The 18,363-nt window shown below is 35.4% G+C and overlaps 1 annotated feature.

Moving 5' to 3' along the window:
• Positions 434–1,633: an enhancer, noted in NCBI's record as "MED14-independent group 3 enhancer chr4:33748252-33749451 (GRCh37/hg19 assembly coordinates)". NCBI's record gives its function as "activates an origin of replication core promoter dependent on BRD2, BRD4, P300/CBP and CDK7 cofactors, and independent of MED14, by STARR-seq in HCT116 cells {active_cell/tissue: HCT116}" and the evidence as "EXISTENCE:reporter gene assay evidence [ECO:0000049][PMID:35650434]".

Raw genomic sequence — 18,363 nt, forward strand, 5'->3', positions numbered from 1 at the left:
TTGTTGGACTTTGTGGGTCTTATTCTTTGGACCATTGGGTTTGAGTGGTACATTCAAAGCCCTAATAATAATATCAATATTATTTGGTTCATATAATAAATATGTTCTTTACACTCTAAAAATGTTCTGTAGTTTATTCAAAGTTACTAATATTGTGGATATTTGGAAAAAATATAAATTTTCTTTTGTGTTAGATCACTAACTGTGATATCATGGTACTGCATATTTTGGCTTTTACTTGAGACTCAAATATTCTCTTTTATTTAATATACAAAGAATCAAATAAATACTTAGCTATATCAGTATCAGCAAATAAAAAAGAGACAATTGCCAATGTACAAAAGAACAGCATAGACTTTAAATGTATTTATATGGTCAGGAATGTATACTAATTAATTATCAGAAATTAGTGGAATATTATAATTTTAAAAGGTGATAACTGTCCAAGTAATATCAACTCTTTCATCTTTCACTCAACACATTCCTATCTACCTTTAGGAGGACAACAGGATGAGAGTTCGAATTAAGTATATTCAAACTGAATTTACATTAAGTAGAAAGAGTGATGGAGTTAAATTTAGAAACATAATCGTGTTAAATGTACATGCCAACCTGTGGGGTAACATGGACAGCCAGAAAAGAAATAGAAAGGCTTTTGACTCACTCTCGTTTTCAGCATGTAGCTTGGATCTTCATTCTGTACTCTAAAGGGTTAGTCACACTTGAGTCCTTTGAGAAGAATATGCCAAGAAGAAAGTACTTCAGACAGTATTTCTTAGGGGAAAGGTCGGTGAAGGTAAACATAAAAAGGAGAAGGAGCTGGTAAAAGCCTCCCAAAGTTGGGAATAAAGGAACAGCAAAGTGAATTTGGTAGGAAGAGCCTCAGACTGCAGTACAGCTTGGAGACAGTCTCACCCAGGCTGATGGGAGCTTCAGAGCCAAGTTGCTCATTAGGGGAGTCCACATTTGGCAGGAAGAGCCACACTTAGTGCCCCTATGGTGCTCAGTCATTGGCTGGCAGCTGCTTGGGCATGTCTGGGCATGAACACTACAACGGATCTGAAGTTGCAGAAGTTGAAAACAACTTTTTTTCCCTTCAAATTTTATTTTAAAACCTACACCTGTAGAAGAGTTGAAAGAATCAGAAAACAAACAATATTAAACTGTTTATCAATTATTAACATCTTTTGACATTTTCTTTATCTCTTCTTGTATATTTTACTCTGAACAACAACAAAGAATCAAAACCTAAGTGTCATGCATGTCTGTGTGAAGAGACCACCAAACAGGCTTTGTGTGAGCAACAAGGCTGTTTATTTCACCTGGGTGCAGGCGGGCTGAGCCCAAAAAAGGAGTCAGCAAAGGGAGATAGGGGTGGGGCCGTTTTATAGGATTTGGGTGGGTAGTGGAAAAGTACAGTCAAAGGGAGTTTTTCTCTTGTGGGCAGGGCCGGGGGTCACGAGGTGCTCAGTGGGGGAACTTCTGAGCCAGAAGAAGGACTTTCACAGGGTTAATTGCTCAGTTAAGGTGGGGCAGGAACAAATCACAATGGTGGAATGTTATCAGTTAAGGCAGGAACCCGCCATTTTCACTTCTTTTGTGATTCTTCACTTGCTTCAGGCCATCTGGATGTATACTTGCAGGTCACAGGGGATATGATGGCTTAGCTTGGGCTCAGAGGCCTGACACTAAGGATGCACTGAAGACCTTTGAAAGGGAGCAGCAGGTTCTCTCAAAGGGCACTGTGCATGGTGCACTCCCATGACAGCCACGCCGGAAAGTCACAGATTGAATATGTGGCAAACTAGTTCAGATCTGCTCTGCATCATGCCATCTCTATAAATTTGTAAAAGAAAATAATTCCATAGGGATGCGATGCAAATAATACTAGCACAGTCTGGGTGTATCATTAACAGGGAAATTGTTATATGGGCAGGGATAAAGCAGAGAATTCCTGCAAGATCTGCCTGTCATGTGACCAGATCTGGAAAGCACTGTACCTGTCAGACAACTAAACTGCTTGAACCCTTAGAAAAGCGAGGGACTTTTTTCATTCCTACTTGGGGAACAATTGAACATCAGAAGCAAGAAGAAGGCCAAGTAGAAGAAAGACCTCAGCTCTGCACAGGGCTTAGAATAGAGCCCAAGCTCTTTCTGTTGGCCTATATTTGCTTTCACTTTTGCATATTTTCCAAAGCTTATTATGTTTTTAGTTTCTCAAAGATTGGAAACTCTTCTACCCCAGAGACTTTGCATTAATGTCTCCTCTGGCTAGAATTTTTTTCCAAGGCTTTTTACCATGGCTGGCTCCTTCCCCTCTTACAGGTCTCAGACCTGCCTTGAATATCTTCTTTAAAGAGGTACCTCTGTTCTCTGTTCTCTTCTCCATTACGACAACATGTGAGCATCCTTCAAAATGATTTGTATTATATAGTTATGCACAGACATGTTTTTATACAGGACTTTAAATGCATTAGGGCAGCAACAATATAGTTTTGTATACATATATACACAAAATCATAGCATAACAATACATATCTGTTGAGAAATTATTCAATGAACTAATGAAAAGCTAAGTATATCTTAACATTTTATATGCATCACAAAATACAAAACACTGCCCTCTAGAAAGGTTGTAAAATTTTATATTCTTAGAACCAGTTTATGAGAGTCCTTATTTTCTTCTTGTTCCTTGACAATAAATTTTATGGCTTAAAAAAAAAGTTGTTCATATAAAGAAAAATAGAATTCATTACTGTTTTGATTTGTGTTCTATTGAATTTCAGTCAGGTTAAGTATGATTTCATGTATGTGGAAAATTTGTACTTTTTCTATCGTAAATTATCTGTTCATTGTTTATTTAAAAATATATTCAAACTGTAATTTAGGTAAAATATATATTATGTCTATAAATAAAATTATATGATGTCATAAGAAAGGATGATGGAGATCATTCAATGACATGAAACATCCATGATGTATCAAAATAAGACTTGGCTATTATGCAGGAAGGAAGAGAAAAAAGCAACCTATCACCAATGCAGCTCTTCTATAAAAATGCTTTTCTGAAATTTTTTAAATATTTGGATGCATGTGATAGATTTTTTTTAATTTCAATAGTATATGGTGGACAACATTAAGTAGTACTAAATAATGAAATGATTTTCTGTATTGTGGAAAGCAAAATGAAACAAAGCAAAATAATTATTTTATAAAGCAATGATACAAGTAAATGATAACGATTAGTTTGCTTAAAGAAATTATATGAAAAGTGCTTAGAATTTTGGAGGCACTGGTTTCTTTTCTTCGACTTTTAAAATGAGCAGCTTTCTTCAGTGATTCTCCTGGTTTCTTCCTCCGGTTACTTGCTAAACTTCTTCCTGGAATTTTAATTCACTCACTTTTCCAAAATTGTCACTATTTCTCATTGTTAACTTCAAAATTTGTTAAACCCTTGATACGTTGAGACTAAAAACGGCCATTTAGTAGATTCTGTCTTAAAATTTTATATTACTTTGAAACACACTGTCTTCTTTACAAAGCCACCATCAATATGTCATCTACAGCAGGAGATTTCAGAGCGCAATCTGTGGACCCCTGGAATTCCTGGAGTTGTTTTCATTATAATGGCCCCAAGTTTATAATTTATTTATATGCATACTAAGACTTTTTTTTTTTGCTTTTTATTTATTGATTTTTTTGTATTGTGCAGCAATTTACACAATGGAGCAAAAGCAATGCTGTGTAAAACTACTGACATATTAGCATAAATCATGGTGTAGGCCTAAAACTGTACTGGTAGTCATTGTGTTCTTTACCACCTCATGCTCACAAAAATAAAATACCACTTTTATTTAAGAATATTCTTGATGAATTATTTAAAAGTGTTATTTGATACAAAAATTAGCCAGGCGTGGTGGCGGGAGACTGTAGTCCCAGCTACTTGGGAGGCTGAGACAGGAGAAAGGCCTGAACCTGGGAGGAGGAGGTTGAAGTGAGCCGAGTTCGTGCCACTGCACTCCAGCCTGGGAGACAGAGTGAGACTCCATCAAAAAAACAAAACAAAACAAAAAAAAAAACTGTGTTATTTGATTAAACCTCAATCCTTGTGTACATATCAATGTTCTGGGTGTAGGCACACAGCACTTCTGCTGCACACTGAAGTATGATGGCAGTTCCAAAGAAAACCAATTAGGCAATTATTTGAGTTAAGAGCTGAACTAGCTGCTTCTTCCATGGAATAGAATTCTTGAAATAATTGTTAACAAACCGTAGCTACACAGGCCTGCATATTGAACAGACATTTTATTAAAAGTTGAATGAAATGAGTCCATCATTTCAAGTAAACGACTGAGAATATATTGCCAGTAATACATTTCAAACTTTGTATCAGCCAGTATGAGCTTGACATCTTTCTGTACATAAAGCTTTTTCTGATGACAACAGTGGCAGTACTGTTACTAGAAAGGGGTCCGATCCAGACCCCAAGACAGAGTTCTTGATCTGGTGCAAGAAAGAATTCCAGGCAAGTCCATAAAGTGAAACCAAGTTTATTAGAGAAGTAAAGAAACAAAAGAATGGCTACTCCACAAGCAGAGCAGCGGTTTCGGTTGCATGACTGAGTATACTTATGGTTATTTCTTGATTATATGTTAAATATATAATAAGAAAGAATTTTAAGGCAAGTAACATGTTTCATCTTCCAGCTCAAGAGCCCCCATTCTTCTCTACAGTTGTGATCTCAAGGTGACTGCAAGCTTAATAACTTTGTCTTCACTATGGCTTGGTATTTTTGTGATTCACATTGCTTCCCTGGATGCAAGGGCACTATATTTAACTAATAAACAATTTAAATAAATGGAATTTTATTACACAGTATATGCCCTTTTTTGTGTAAATATACAGAAGCAGCTCGATAAATTTTATTTAAAACTCAGAGGCTAAAAAGGTAATTCTGAAGGTGTGTACCAACATGAAGTTCTCCATATCTAGGACACAGATTCGAAACTATGTCTATGCTCATAATTTGGGTGAAGAGGTAAAGTAGCATCAACTTAACAGACGTCAGTTTCAAGATGACAGAGAGTGACTTAGAGGGAAGTGAACAGTAGTTTGGGGAAGTATAGAGACACATTCCTGACCAGAATAACTAAGTTTGAATTTGTGAAATCAGTTACCATTTTCTTGGGAATCTCATTAATATCTTAACAAGAAAAACTGGTAGAAGACTTTTATAATCAATTATTCATTGAGCACCTTCCATGTGCCAAATGTTTCATAAACTCTCAGTGATACAGCAATGAATAGGACAAAGGCCTTGTCCTTACATATTTTGTATTGTCATATATAAATTCCATAGTTAAATCGGGTAAGGTTTTTAAAAATCATAAATGTTACGTTTATTGAAAATGTAACTGATCAAAGACTGATGACACAAAGAAAATGGAAAGAAATTGGAAAAGGGAGATTAGAATATAGGGTCAAATTCAGTACCACAATCAGCATACTATTATAAGTATTTACTACAGCATACTAAAGACTCATTGCTATGCTAGGAAATTTATTATCAGGATACTACCTCTGTATAAACACCTTCCCTTAAGCTCATAATGCTCTCAAATTGGATTCACAAGTACAAAAAAGAAGCTAAAAATAAAGGTTGACTAGCATTTAAAAATATTTTAACTCACTCTGGCAATTCTGATATTCATAAAAATATAGAATTGTAATAATCATTATTCCTAGAGATAAGATTACAGCAGGCTTGAATTTTGTGTAGTTTAATGTTCACTTCATTGTATGCCTATGGAACACATACTAACTATATGATAAACACTGTGTAAGTCTATAAGAACAAAAACATTGATAAGGCATTTTGTCTATCTACAGAAAGCTCCTAGTATTATAGGGAGGAAAAAAGTAGATGCAAAATTTCTAATATATCTTAATTATTATGACAGAGGTCTACAGCAATTGCTGTACTGGAGAGTCTTAATTATTTGCATGGTATTTTTTATATTATTTTAATCATAAGCAGAAGTAGTCAATATTTAATAGCAGATAAAACATAGGCTTGACCAATCCGAATGGACCCTATGGAAAACTATTAAAAATATCTTGGTGCAAACTTGATGCATGTCAGCCCTGATTATGAGCTATGGGCTATCATACCTCTATTTTCCTAGAAATCATAAGCTCTTGAGTCTAATATTTGTGATCTCAGTAACTATTCTGTATACGGTAACTAAGAAAAATGCTAAGTACAAAGAAGCTGATAGGAAATAGAAGATAGATATCTCACTATTAGTAGTAGCTTAACTGTTGTATGAAGCTAAGGATTCCATTGAATTTAAATTCCCATAACTCTATACACAGGTGAAAAAAACATAATTGCCAAAACATGCTTTCTCTCACAATTTTTTTTCTGAGGTGGAGTCTCGCTCTGTCTCCCAGCTGTAGTGCAGTGGCTCGATCTCGGCTCACTGCAAGCTCTGCCTCCTGGGTTCACACCATTCTCCTGCCTCAGCCTCCCAAGTAGCTGGGACTACAGGCACCCGCCACCTCGCCTGGCTAATTTTTTGTATTTTTAGTAGAGACGGGGTTTCACTGTGTTAGCCAGGATGGTCTTGATCTCCTGACCTCGTCTCTCACAATTTTTACATCTTCTTTATGTGTTATTAGTTGTCCAGAGATAATGTGTTATCAATTATAATAGTTATCAAAGTTAAAATTATACTTTCATCAGTACATAGCTGTTTTTAATAGATGTTGTTATCTTATTGTGTTTACAATTAGATTGAAACATTATTCAGAGATTCTTAAGGAGAAAAACTTAAAATAATTTCAGCCACAAGGCCATCACCTGAAACAAAAGCATTTTAAATATCTAATCACTAATACTTCATCAAATTTCTCTTGCATTTTCTCTCTCCTGGAAATATTGCTGGTTTGTTTGCTTGTTTGTTTTGTTTACAACTCTGGGTTTTACAGTGAGTTTTAACTAATAGAGCTTGAATTCATAACCAGATTCCACAGCTATTGACTAACACTGAGTATGTTACATAGCCAATATATATACCTCAGTTTTTCCATCTACAGAATAAGGATAGTGGCATCAAAAAGTAGAAATGTTATGCTATTAAAAAATAACACAGGTAAGACTCTCAGTGTGTGGATGGCTCATTGTTTATGCCAAATAAATAATAGCTGAAAACTGTACAAAAGCTTTTTTTGAAAAGTATTTTTGCAGGTATTTGAAGAATGGAGCTAACTAAAATTGTTTTGCATTTGTTAACATTTAGTGTTTCTTAGTTTTAATTTATTTCTGCAGCATAAACAATTGATATAAGGAGGGGGGAAAATCCCTCAAAGGTTACCTTTTGAAAGCTTGTTGTAAATGCAGAAAATAACTCCTTTACCTAGGGAGAGCTTGTGAAGATTAATGAGTTGTTTCTTTGGGTTCAAGTTTTCCACATGCACTGGGTCCACTATGGTGATACAATTAATTTCACAACACCAGGGTTTTGTCATCCAACATTCTCGTACCATGCATCTATGATAAGTATTCTTTAATTAAACCTCAAAATTTGCCACTGTTGTTACCTAGTGCAGCTGGAACGTAGATATACCTCTGTGGACCACAAAGGTTTTAACATGCAGCTGGGGAAGCTTAATAATAGAATGTTTACAAGAAAGCCTTCTGGTTGGTGTCCAAAGTTCTTAAAACTTTTAATAAATACTTCTATCTAAAAAACAAATTATAACAGGGGAAGTAAGGAACTTGTGTTTCTGTTCATAGCTTACAGAGGGCAACAAGGTATGCTCCCTAGCCAAGGAGGGGGGAACTTTCTTTCATGATTCTCCTCAGCTCCCAGCTTACTGGCAAGCACCTAGATAATTACTTTCCTGTGAATACAGCCGAGGATAACTCTTCTCTTAAGGACTTGGGTACAAAGATGCAGACGAGATAGGGTTGGTTTCATCTGATGGTCATTGTTCCAGCTTTATAAACTTAGTAAGCATTTATTTGCATCTCATTTGAACAGTTTTGGTGGATCTTTTAATCACAGTTCAGTAACAGAATTAAAGTATACATTCATTCAAAGGTTCTCAGGCCGGGCGTGGTGGCTCACACCTGTAATCCCTGCACTTTCAGAGGCCAAGGTGGGTGGATCACCTGAGGTCAAGAGTTCGAGACCAGCCTGGCCAACACGGTGAAACCCCGTCTCTGCTAAAAATATAAAATTAGCCTGGCATGGTGGCATATGCCTGTAATCCCAGCTACCCAGGAGGCTGAAGCAGGAGAACTGCTTGAACCCAGGAGGTGGAGGCTGCTGTGAGCTGAGATCACACCATTGCACTCCAGCCTGGGCAACAAAAGCAAAACTCCATCTCAAAAAATGAATATATCAATAAATAAATAAAAATAAAAATAAATAAAGGTCCTCAGTAATAAGCATAGTTTGTCTTGTTCTTGAATTCATAATTTTGTTCAATTCCCTTCTAGTGACTCGCTAAAAATTAGGGTGTAAAAATGCAATCTGCTGCAATGGCTGAGAGCACAGACTCCTTTTTGTATTACATATTCATTACGTAATCTTAGATAAGCAACTCAAATCTCTTGTCCTCAATTTCCTTATCTTTATTATGGGAATAATAGTCAAATTTAACTCATAGAGTTGTTATGAGGATTAAAATAAATAAAAACCACTTAGTAAGGTAAGAGGTATATAGTAACCATTCTAGTAATGGTGGTGATGAAGAATTAAATGATAACTAGTGATAAGTGTATAGTGAAGACAGAAGAAAGGTGAGCTACAGAAAAATTATTTTAGCAATCAATTATAATGAGAAAATGGTAAAATCTGTTACAAACAATATTTCCATCTCAGATTCTCTGGAGAAAAGCAGAATGAAAGGTAGTTTTTTCTGTCCTCACACGGCTCTGTTTTTTTTTTTGCCTCAGAGCACTGTTGCTACATGTCTTTAACGAGTTCTAGACCTTGAGAGGAAACTATAGTGGAAGAGATAAGTGGCAAGTATGTACCTAGTTGCTTGTCAGGTTAGAGGAGTGAAATATGCTTAATGGCAGAAATACCAGAAGATGAATTTGAGTTGCTTCTGAGAGTCCAGGGAGAACGTTGGATTTCTGAGGACCCTAAACCAGTAGGGGTACATGGCGCATCTCCGGAGACTGAAAACTGAATCTTCTATATAAGACAAAAATACTTAAGTCCAAACTTGATATGTTCACAACAGAACTGTGTTGGCAAGGGTAATGCAGGTTTGAACATGAAGCCTGACATGTATGGTAACCAGTGTGAAGTGAAGACAAGTTTGTCTCTTTAAACATTTCTGGACTGCATATTGGTGGAATTCTAGAGAGACCTCTAAAATGGCTGACAGTGAGCCTCAGAAAATCAAAGTAATAAAAAGAAATGAAGTCAACCTCGATCCAAAAGGAAGTTAGTCTCAGGCTCTATCTCCTCTCTCTCTCTCTCTTTTTTTTTTTTTTTTTTTTTTAAATCAACAGACATTCAGTATCCTGAAAAGAAGAGATAAAGGCTTCAGGCAGAGGGCAGCAACAAAAATGGAGGGTGCCTCTTCATATCTGAGATCTTGCTTCCTGAGACCATAGAGTAAGGCAATTACCTCGAAGATGAGGGAAACACACTAAAATTTTGGATCATGGGAAGAGCTCTGTATACTGAATAAGAATGAGTATTGATTTAGTTGACATTAAGCCAAAAATAGTTGTTCTTCAAATTAGTTAATGCAAATTAAATGATTCTCCAGATCCAAAATATTTTTTCTCCCAGGCTTAATGTTCTGGGCTAAAATAAATTTTTGATTAAAGAAAGTTTTCCATAGAATCTTCTTTTGTAAAAAGGAAGGGATTGATTTTTAATATATACTGCCCTTAGATATTCTTAAGAGACTGTCCTTCACACACCCCTATTGGCTTTCACATGGAAATATTTGTGCTGGTGGAAAACTGATTCAGGACAAGATGTACGTATTAGAAAGATGTCTCCTCCGTGGTTGGGAAAGGATGTAGTAACACAGGCAGAGAATGTAAGCAATGATTTTTCAAGTCCGATTGTTTACCAATGAAAGAGCATGGCAGAATAGTCTATTAAGATATTAAGCCATGTTGTGTTCTCTATGAGGGTAAGAAGCCTGGAACACATGAGAGATGAACTTTATCACACATACTCAGCTGCTGATTACCCCTACTCCAACGTATTAATGCCAAGCTGTAACTTTTGAAAATTTCAGTTTAGCATGGAAATAATTTTGTATTTTTATAGAATGAAAGGGGTTATATAAGAGGTTCTATGGTGGAATGTAAATGACAGGAAGAAGAATTTAGGGGATGTTGTAGAAAATGGGATCGTCTGCCTAGGTCACCTTTCAAGGAATAACTTGCTGGGTGTCTATGGGGGGTGCATGAGTAGATTTCTTTCATTTGTCTGCTTTCTCATACTCTTCAGCAGCTACAGAGAAATTCCTCCTGCCCCAATGTTATTCAGTGGAGAAATAATAGTCCTTTCATCAAATGGTGATAGAACAATGGGTGTACCTATATATTTTTTAAAGCATTGATATATATATAGATACATATCACTCATACATTATTAAAAATAAAATTATTACACATGGATCATAGATCCAAATGTAATACATAAATCTGTAAGACTATGAAAACAAAACAGGTAAAAATCTTTATGAACTGGAATTAGGCATGGAATTTTTTAAAGTGTCACCAAAATAAATCCATAAAAGAAAAAAAAACTGAAAAATTGGACTTCATCAAACTCAGACTTGGAGAAAATATTTCAGTCATATATCCAACAATGGATTTGCATCAAACTATACAAAAAAACCTCTCAAAACTCAACAGTAAGAAAACAAGTAGCCAAATTTAAAAAATGAGTAAAACGTTTGTCAAGACTTTTGTAAAGAGGATGTATGGATGATACAAAAATCTCAGAAAAAGATCTTCAACAAAAAATGCAAGCTAAATCCATGTACATATGAGAATGGCTATTTTTTTTTAAAGTCAACAATATCTAGTACTGTAATTGATGCAGAGCAAATGGAAATACCATATATTACTAGTCAGAATATAAAACCCTACAGTCATTCCAGCAAACAGTCTCAATTTATTTTAAATTCAAACAATTCACTGATTATATGACCAAGTAATTCCATTCCTAGGTATTTACCCTAGAGAAATAAAAACTTATATTTACACAAAATCTTTTACATAAATGTAAAACTGAAAACAACTCAAATTTTCTTCAATGAGTGTTATGAACTAAGTGTGTCCCCCACTCCAAATTCATATTTTGAAATCTTAACCCCTAATATGATTGTATTAAGAGGTGGGGCCTTTTTGAGATCTCTTAGTTCATTTTATGCATCTACAACAGAATAACACAGACTGGGTAATTTATAAAGAATAGTTTATGTAGCTCATGTTTCCCAGAGACTGGAAGGTCTGAAAACATGGATTCAGCATCTGGAGAGGGTCATCCCATGGTGGAAGGGTTGAAGGTGAAAGCAAGCACAAGAGGTAGAAAGAGGTATCAGGAACCACACTCATTTTAACCACCAACTCTTGCCAATACTGACATTAATCCACTCGTAAGGGCTCCACCCTCATGACATAATCGCCTCTTATTAGGCCACACCTCCCAGCACTATTGCATTGGGGATTAAGTCTGCAACAGGTAAACGTTTTGAGGGCACATTCAAGCCATAGCAGGAGATAAGTCATGAGGGTGGATTGTCACCAGAGATATTTGTGTCCTTATAAAAGAGACAACCAGAGAGTTCTCTAGCTCTCTTTCTGCCATATGAGGACACAGTGAGAAGACAGCCATCTATGGACCCAGGAAGTGGGCTCTTACCAGACACCAAATCTTTTAGTGCCTTAATTTTGGACTTTGTGGCCCCCCAGAACTGTAAGAAATAAATTGTTGTTTAAGCCACCCAGTCTATAGTATTCGTTTGGAACAGCATGAACTGATTAAGACAATAGATAAATGAATAAAATTACTGTTGAAGATGCATACAATGGAATACAAGTCAGTTATAAACATATTAACTGGTATACACAACAACTTGCAGAAACCTTAAAGTCATTAAGCTGAATGAGAGAAGCCCTCGCCATAGATACCAAAACTTATGATCTTATGTATGGTATATTCTTGAATAAACTTAACCATAGTAATGGGAAAAAAAAAAAATCAGAGGTTGCCAAGAGTTAATCATGGGGCAGATATGACAAAAAGGGACAGCAAAAGGGAGGTTATTTTGTATCATCACCGAGATGGTAGTTATACAAATTTATACATCTGTTAAAATGCATAAAACTGTGCACTAGAAAAAGGTAGTTTTACTACATGACAGTGTAAGCTATAATACAAATTACACATATAAGGAATTGCCTCTATTGTCCAAATGATACCTGAAAGTGTAAGTGTAATATATATATATTTTAAAGAGTTTGGTGGTTATTGATAATTTAAAAAATAAATGTAGGACTTATTCAGTTTATCTGTTTTGTCTTACATGACTTTGGTAGCATGTATACATTAAGAAATTCACTTATTTTACCTAAATTGTCAAATTTGAGGGCATCGAGTTGTTTTTGGAATTGTTTTACTTTGCTCTTGATGTCTATGGGTTCACTAGCAGTGTCTCTTCTTTTCCCTGCTATTAGAGATGTAAGTCTTTTGATTATTTCTCTTGGTCAGTTTGGCTAAGAATTCATCAATGTTATGAATATTTTCAAATACCCAACTTTTTTTCTTTCTTTTTTTTTTTTTTTTAAGACGGAGTCTTGCTCTGTCGCCCAGGCTGGAGCACAGTGGCGTGATCTCTGCTCCCTGCAAGCTCCGTCTTCCAGGTTCACGCCATTCTCCTGCCTCAGCCTCCCGAGTAGCTGGGACTACAGGCACCCGACACCACGCCCGGCTAATTTTTTGTATTTTTAGTAGAGACGGGGTTTCACAGTGTTAGCCAGGATGGTCTCAATCTCATGATCTCGTGATCCATCTGCCTCAGCCTCTCAAAGTGCTGGGATTACAGGCGTGAGCCACCACACTGGGCCCAACTTTTCATTTGATTGATTTTTCCCCTTTTTCTATTTGTATAAATTTGTAGGGCACAAGTATAATTTTGTTACATGAATATATTGCACAGTGGTGAAATCAGCGCTTTTTGATTTTCTTTATTCTTTTTCTTTTTTAATTTTTAATGATTTCTAGTTCATATTTAATTTCTTGCTCCTGTTTGCTTCGGATTTAACCTGTTGTCCTCTTAGTTTTTTAAAGATGAATGCTTATGTTACTTATTTTAAAACTGTCTTCTTTCTAATAAAAAACATTTAGTGCTATAAATGTTCCTCTCAACAGAATGTAAGCTGCATCCCATATATTCGATTGGTTGTATTTTCATTTTTATGATGGTCTAAATACTTTTAAATTTCTCTTTACGTATTCTTTTTGACTCCAGAGTTATATAGAATTATGCTCTTTAATTGCCAAATATTAGGATATTTTTAATATCTTTTTATTATTGATGTCTAATTTACTTCTATTATGGCTCAAGACATACTTTGCATGATACCTTTGCAATAAAATTGGTTTTGTGGCCAAGATGTATAGTGTTTAATGTTCCATGTGCACTGCTGTTGTTGGGTAGAATGTCCTATAAATGTCAATTAGTTCAAGTTTTCTGATGATTTTATAAAGGTCATCTATAACGTTACTGAATATGTCTGTGTAATTGTTCTGTCATTGCTGAGAAAGCTCTGTTGAAATTTCAAGCTATGGATTTACCTATATAACTTTTTGGTTTTCTTTCTTTCTTTCTTTCTTTCTTTCTTTCTTTCTTTCTTTCTTTCTTTCTTTCTTTCTTCTTTCTTTCTTTCTTTCTTTCTTTCTTTCCTTCTTTCTTTCTCTTTTCTTTCTTTTTTTCTTCATGTGTCTGGACACTGTTTTTAGAAATATGCACATTTAGGATTGATATGTCTTGTAGAATCATTCTTTTCAGATAATGTCCTTTCCTTTTTTCTTTTTATTTATTTTTAAAATTATTATTATTTATTAAGCACAGAAAGGGTCTCACCATGTTGCCCAGGATGGTCTCATACTCCTGCCTCAGCCACCCAAGAGCTGTGATTAAGGCATGATCCAATGCACCCACACAGGTAATATCCTCTTCCATGCCAAGATATAAGATATTATTTCTTGTTCTGAAGTTTACTTTGTCTTATATTAATATAGATATTTTAGCTTTGTTTTGGTTGATAATTTCATTGTATGGATTTTTGTCCATTGCTCAATAGATAATAATTGATTTTAATGAAATGACTCCCAATGTAGAAATACATTTATACTAGTGTATTTTTATTTAGCTCTATGCTGTAGTGAAAAATATTTTATTACTGACTATGCTTTTAAATTTTGGATTCTGTAAATGAAACATTAAGATTAAATTTTGAGTCTACTTATTAATATAACATGTGACTATCTCTAGATCTCCAAAAATGTAACATGCAAAAAAAATTTTTCAAATTATATTTTGTATTCTATTAAGCCCTTTATTGATTATCAACAATCCTGTCGACACTAATTTGGCTTTCTATGTTTTGTAAAATTTTGACGTGCACTAATGCATATATGTGAAGAATGAATTATTTTCTTAAGGGTGAAAATCAAAATTTATCACTTAAAATCTTGTCTCTGTAGCTAATTGTCCACTATTTAAGTTGACTGTAGTAGTACAAAGGATAAAAATGAATTGCTAAGATAATAAAATTTAAAAATAAATCAAGAGATTATACAGGTATACTGAAATTGAAAATTTAAGTAAATGAATGGTGGGTGGCAGACGCCAAGTTTCTCACTGTTGGGGTGTCAGTTTACTGATAAGCCAGAGAAGAAGGCTATAATGGTCCACTGGGCGTGGTGACTTCTGCCTGTAATCCCAGCACTTTGGGAGGATGAGGCGGGCAGATCACCTGAGGTCAGAAGTTCGAGACCAGCCTGACCAACACAGGGAAACCCTGTCTCTACTAAAAATACAAAATTAGCCAGGCGTGGTGGTACATGCCTGTAATCCCAGGTACTTGGGAGGCTGAGGCAGGAGAACTGCTTGAACCCGGGAGGCGGAGGTTGTGGTAAGCTGAGATCGTGCCTTTGCACTCCAGCCTGGGCAACAAGACTGAAACTCGGTCTCAAAAAAAATAAAAAATAAAAAAAGAAGACTGGAATGATCCATGTGATAATGGATTACAGCTGGAGACATCAAGATGAACTCAGCCTTTGCTTAATATAAATATAAATGACTACATATAAATTAATTTCTAGATATGTACATATATATGGGTTAGCATAAACACATATATTTCCTTGTTCTGTCAGCTTAGAGGTTCTAGAAGCAATGATGGGCTAGTATCATCAAGCCCATCTAATGCTAAGACTGCTTTCTTCATTCTCTAAATAAAGAAACCAGAATACTTAGAGAAATTACTCATGCTAGGACAGGAACAGGAAATATACAAAATAAGGCTGAAACATCTTGTAGTGCCATAAATAAGGAAGCACTCCAAAGTATATTTACATTGATGGGGGAATGTCAAAGGGACCTAGGAAATAACTCCCAAAGGCCTGATCCGGAACAATTTGAGTACAAAATAGATAAAGAAGCATTGAACTATAACCCAAAGTTTAAATATTCATAAATCTATAGCAACATAACCAAATAAAGTAACAAATTATTCATGCAGAAGAATTCCAAATAATTTATCTAGAGACTTTGACCTCAAGGATTTGGAGCCTATTTCTTCATACTCTAAGTGTGACGATGTCCTTCCAAAGACTACAGTATGGAAAGGGTGAAAAGAATAAACTTTCAGTGAAAAAGGCTGAAAAATGCTGCCTCAACCAAGTGATCAAGGTCAACATAAACAGCGGTTTATCATGTTAATAGTATGTACCCTTGATATGATGAAATGAAAATGGCACTTTTATGTGGTCTTCCTTCCCAAATTTTATGACTCTAGTCTAACTATGAAAAAAAAATACCAATTCCAATATTGGAGTATTCTAAGAAATGCTGGACAAGTACTCTTTAAAACTCTCAAAATATTCAAAAACAATGGAAGTCTGAGAAACTATCAAGAAACTCTAAGACTTGTCAAAGACGGTATGACAACTAATTGCAATGGGGTATCTCAGATAAGATGTTAGAACAGAAAAAGGACAAGGGGTAAAAACAGGAAATCTAAATAAAGTATGAAATTTAGATCATGATGATGTGTCAAGATTGGTTTATTAATTGTAACAAATGTAGCAGACTAACATAAGACAATAACAGGGGAATATAGATGTGGGATATATGGGAACTCTGTACTATCTTCTCATTTTATCTGTAAATCTTAAAGGGATGTAAAAATAGAATTTATTTTAAAATTATTATCTCTATATATAAAGAGGTAAGAGAGTTTCAGTAGGTCCTCCAATAAGTAATTAAAGACCAACATTTTAACAGAATATAATTTAAAGAAGCAATAAGAAATATGAAAATAAAATTTAAAGATGCAGTAAAAAATTATGAAAATTATCTTCTTAAAGGCAAACAACTAACAAGGTAGTGAAAAATGACCAAGATTCAGGGCTAGACAAAAGCCTGGGGAGATGAGCCTGGTTTGGGAGTAGCTTTTCCCCTGGAGGTCTGTGTTGATTCTGGGGAAGACTACTTTAAAAATGAAAAGAGCTTTACTTATGACAACTGAGGAATAAAGGGATGTAGCCCAGCTACAGATTGGTACTCAAAAGCCTATAATCTAGGAAAAAGTGAGAATCACAAATAGATGGGTCCTTACAGGGACTGTAGCTCAGCTTGTAATCATTTCCTCTCTTGAAATTGAATTGTTGTATGGCGGATTTTTTTAATTCCAAAGAAAAGCAGCAGAATTTAATGTACATATTTTTGGAAGAAAATTATTTTATCTAGTCCTGTAGTTATCCCCACACTCAGCATACATACACTCCTCCACTCAGTGTATACACACACACACACACACACACACACCCCCAAAACACAGAACTGAAACACAGAGATATGAAAAATTATTGAAAAACCAATAATAAAACAAATAAGCCCACTGTGATGGTTAATATTAGGTGTCAACTCGATTCTATTGACGGATGCCTAGATGGCTGGTAAAGTATTTTGTCTGAGTGTGTCCGTGAGGGTATTGCCAGAGGAGACTGACATTTGAGCCAATGGACTGGGGAGGAAGACCCACCCTCAATGTGGGTAGGCACCATCATTCAGCTGCCAGCATGGCTAGAACAAAACAGGTGGAAGAAGATGAAATAAGCTGGCTTGCTGAGTCTTCTGGCTACCTTCTTTCTCCCATATGGAATGCTTCCTTTGTTCCTCTCACCCTTGGACATCAGACTCCAGCTTCTTTGGCCTTTGGACTCTGGGACTTACCCCAGTGCTTTGTTGGGGCTCTTGGGCCTTCAGCCACAGACTGAAGGCTGCACTGTCAACTTCCCTGTTTTTGAGGCTTTTGGACTCAGACAGAGCCACTACTGGCTTATTTTTCCCTAGCTTGTAGACGGCCTACTGTGGGATTTTGTCTTGTGATCGTGTCAGCCAATTCTCCCTAATAAACTCACTTTCATATTTACATATATCCTATTAGTTCCGTCCCTCTGGATAACCCTGAACAAACACCCACAGATATTAAAGTTTTTAGACATAGATTTTATAATAATAATCATATTTACTTTGTTCAAATAATACAAAATAAGATTTAAGAATACCTACTCAAACTCAAATATATAAAACACAAAATTGAAATGTTCTAGCTAACTAAATGCAATAAAAGTATTTTAAGATCTCAGTGGTGGTGCTTCAGCTTAGACACAACTGAAACATGAATTTGAGTACTGGGCTGGAGTATGAGGTTGAGGACATAGAAGACACAATGAAACAATGTAGTATATGTTCAACTGGGGCCCTAGACCAAAGCTTGCAAATGGTAGACATTCAAAAAATATCCATTAAATGAATAAATACATGAAGTGGAAAGATATGCAGTGAACTGCCATTTAACAAATAATTGCTAAATTTTTATTTTACTTTGTTTAATGTGTGATTCAAAGACAATTAATTCAATCATAGTTGAATTAATCATAGTTTAGAACAAGAAATCACAGTTTAGACCAAAACCAAACCAAATATTATCATACTCAAGGTGTCTGAGAATGATTATGAGTACTATAGGATATTAGCTCAAGGGCTGAAATCGGTTCACAAAATCTCTGCCTTTAC

The sequence above is a fragment of the Homo sapiens genome, chromosome 4 (genome assembly GCF_000001405.40).
Source record: "Homo sapiens chromosome 4, GRCh38.p14 Primary Assembly".
Lineage (NCBI taxonomy): Eukaryota > Metazoa > Chordata > Mammalia > Primates > Hominidae > Homo > Homo sapiens.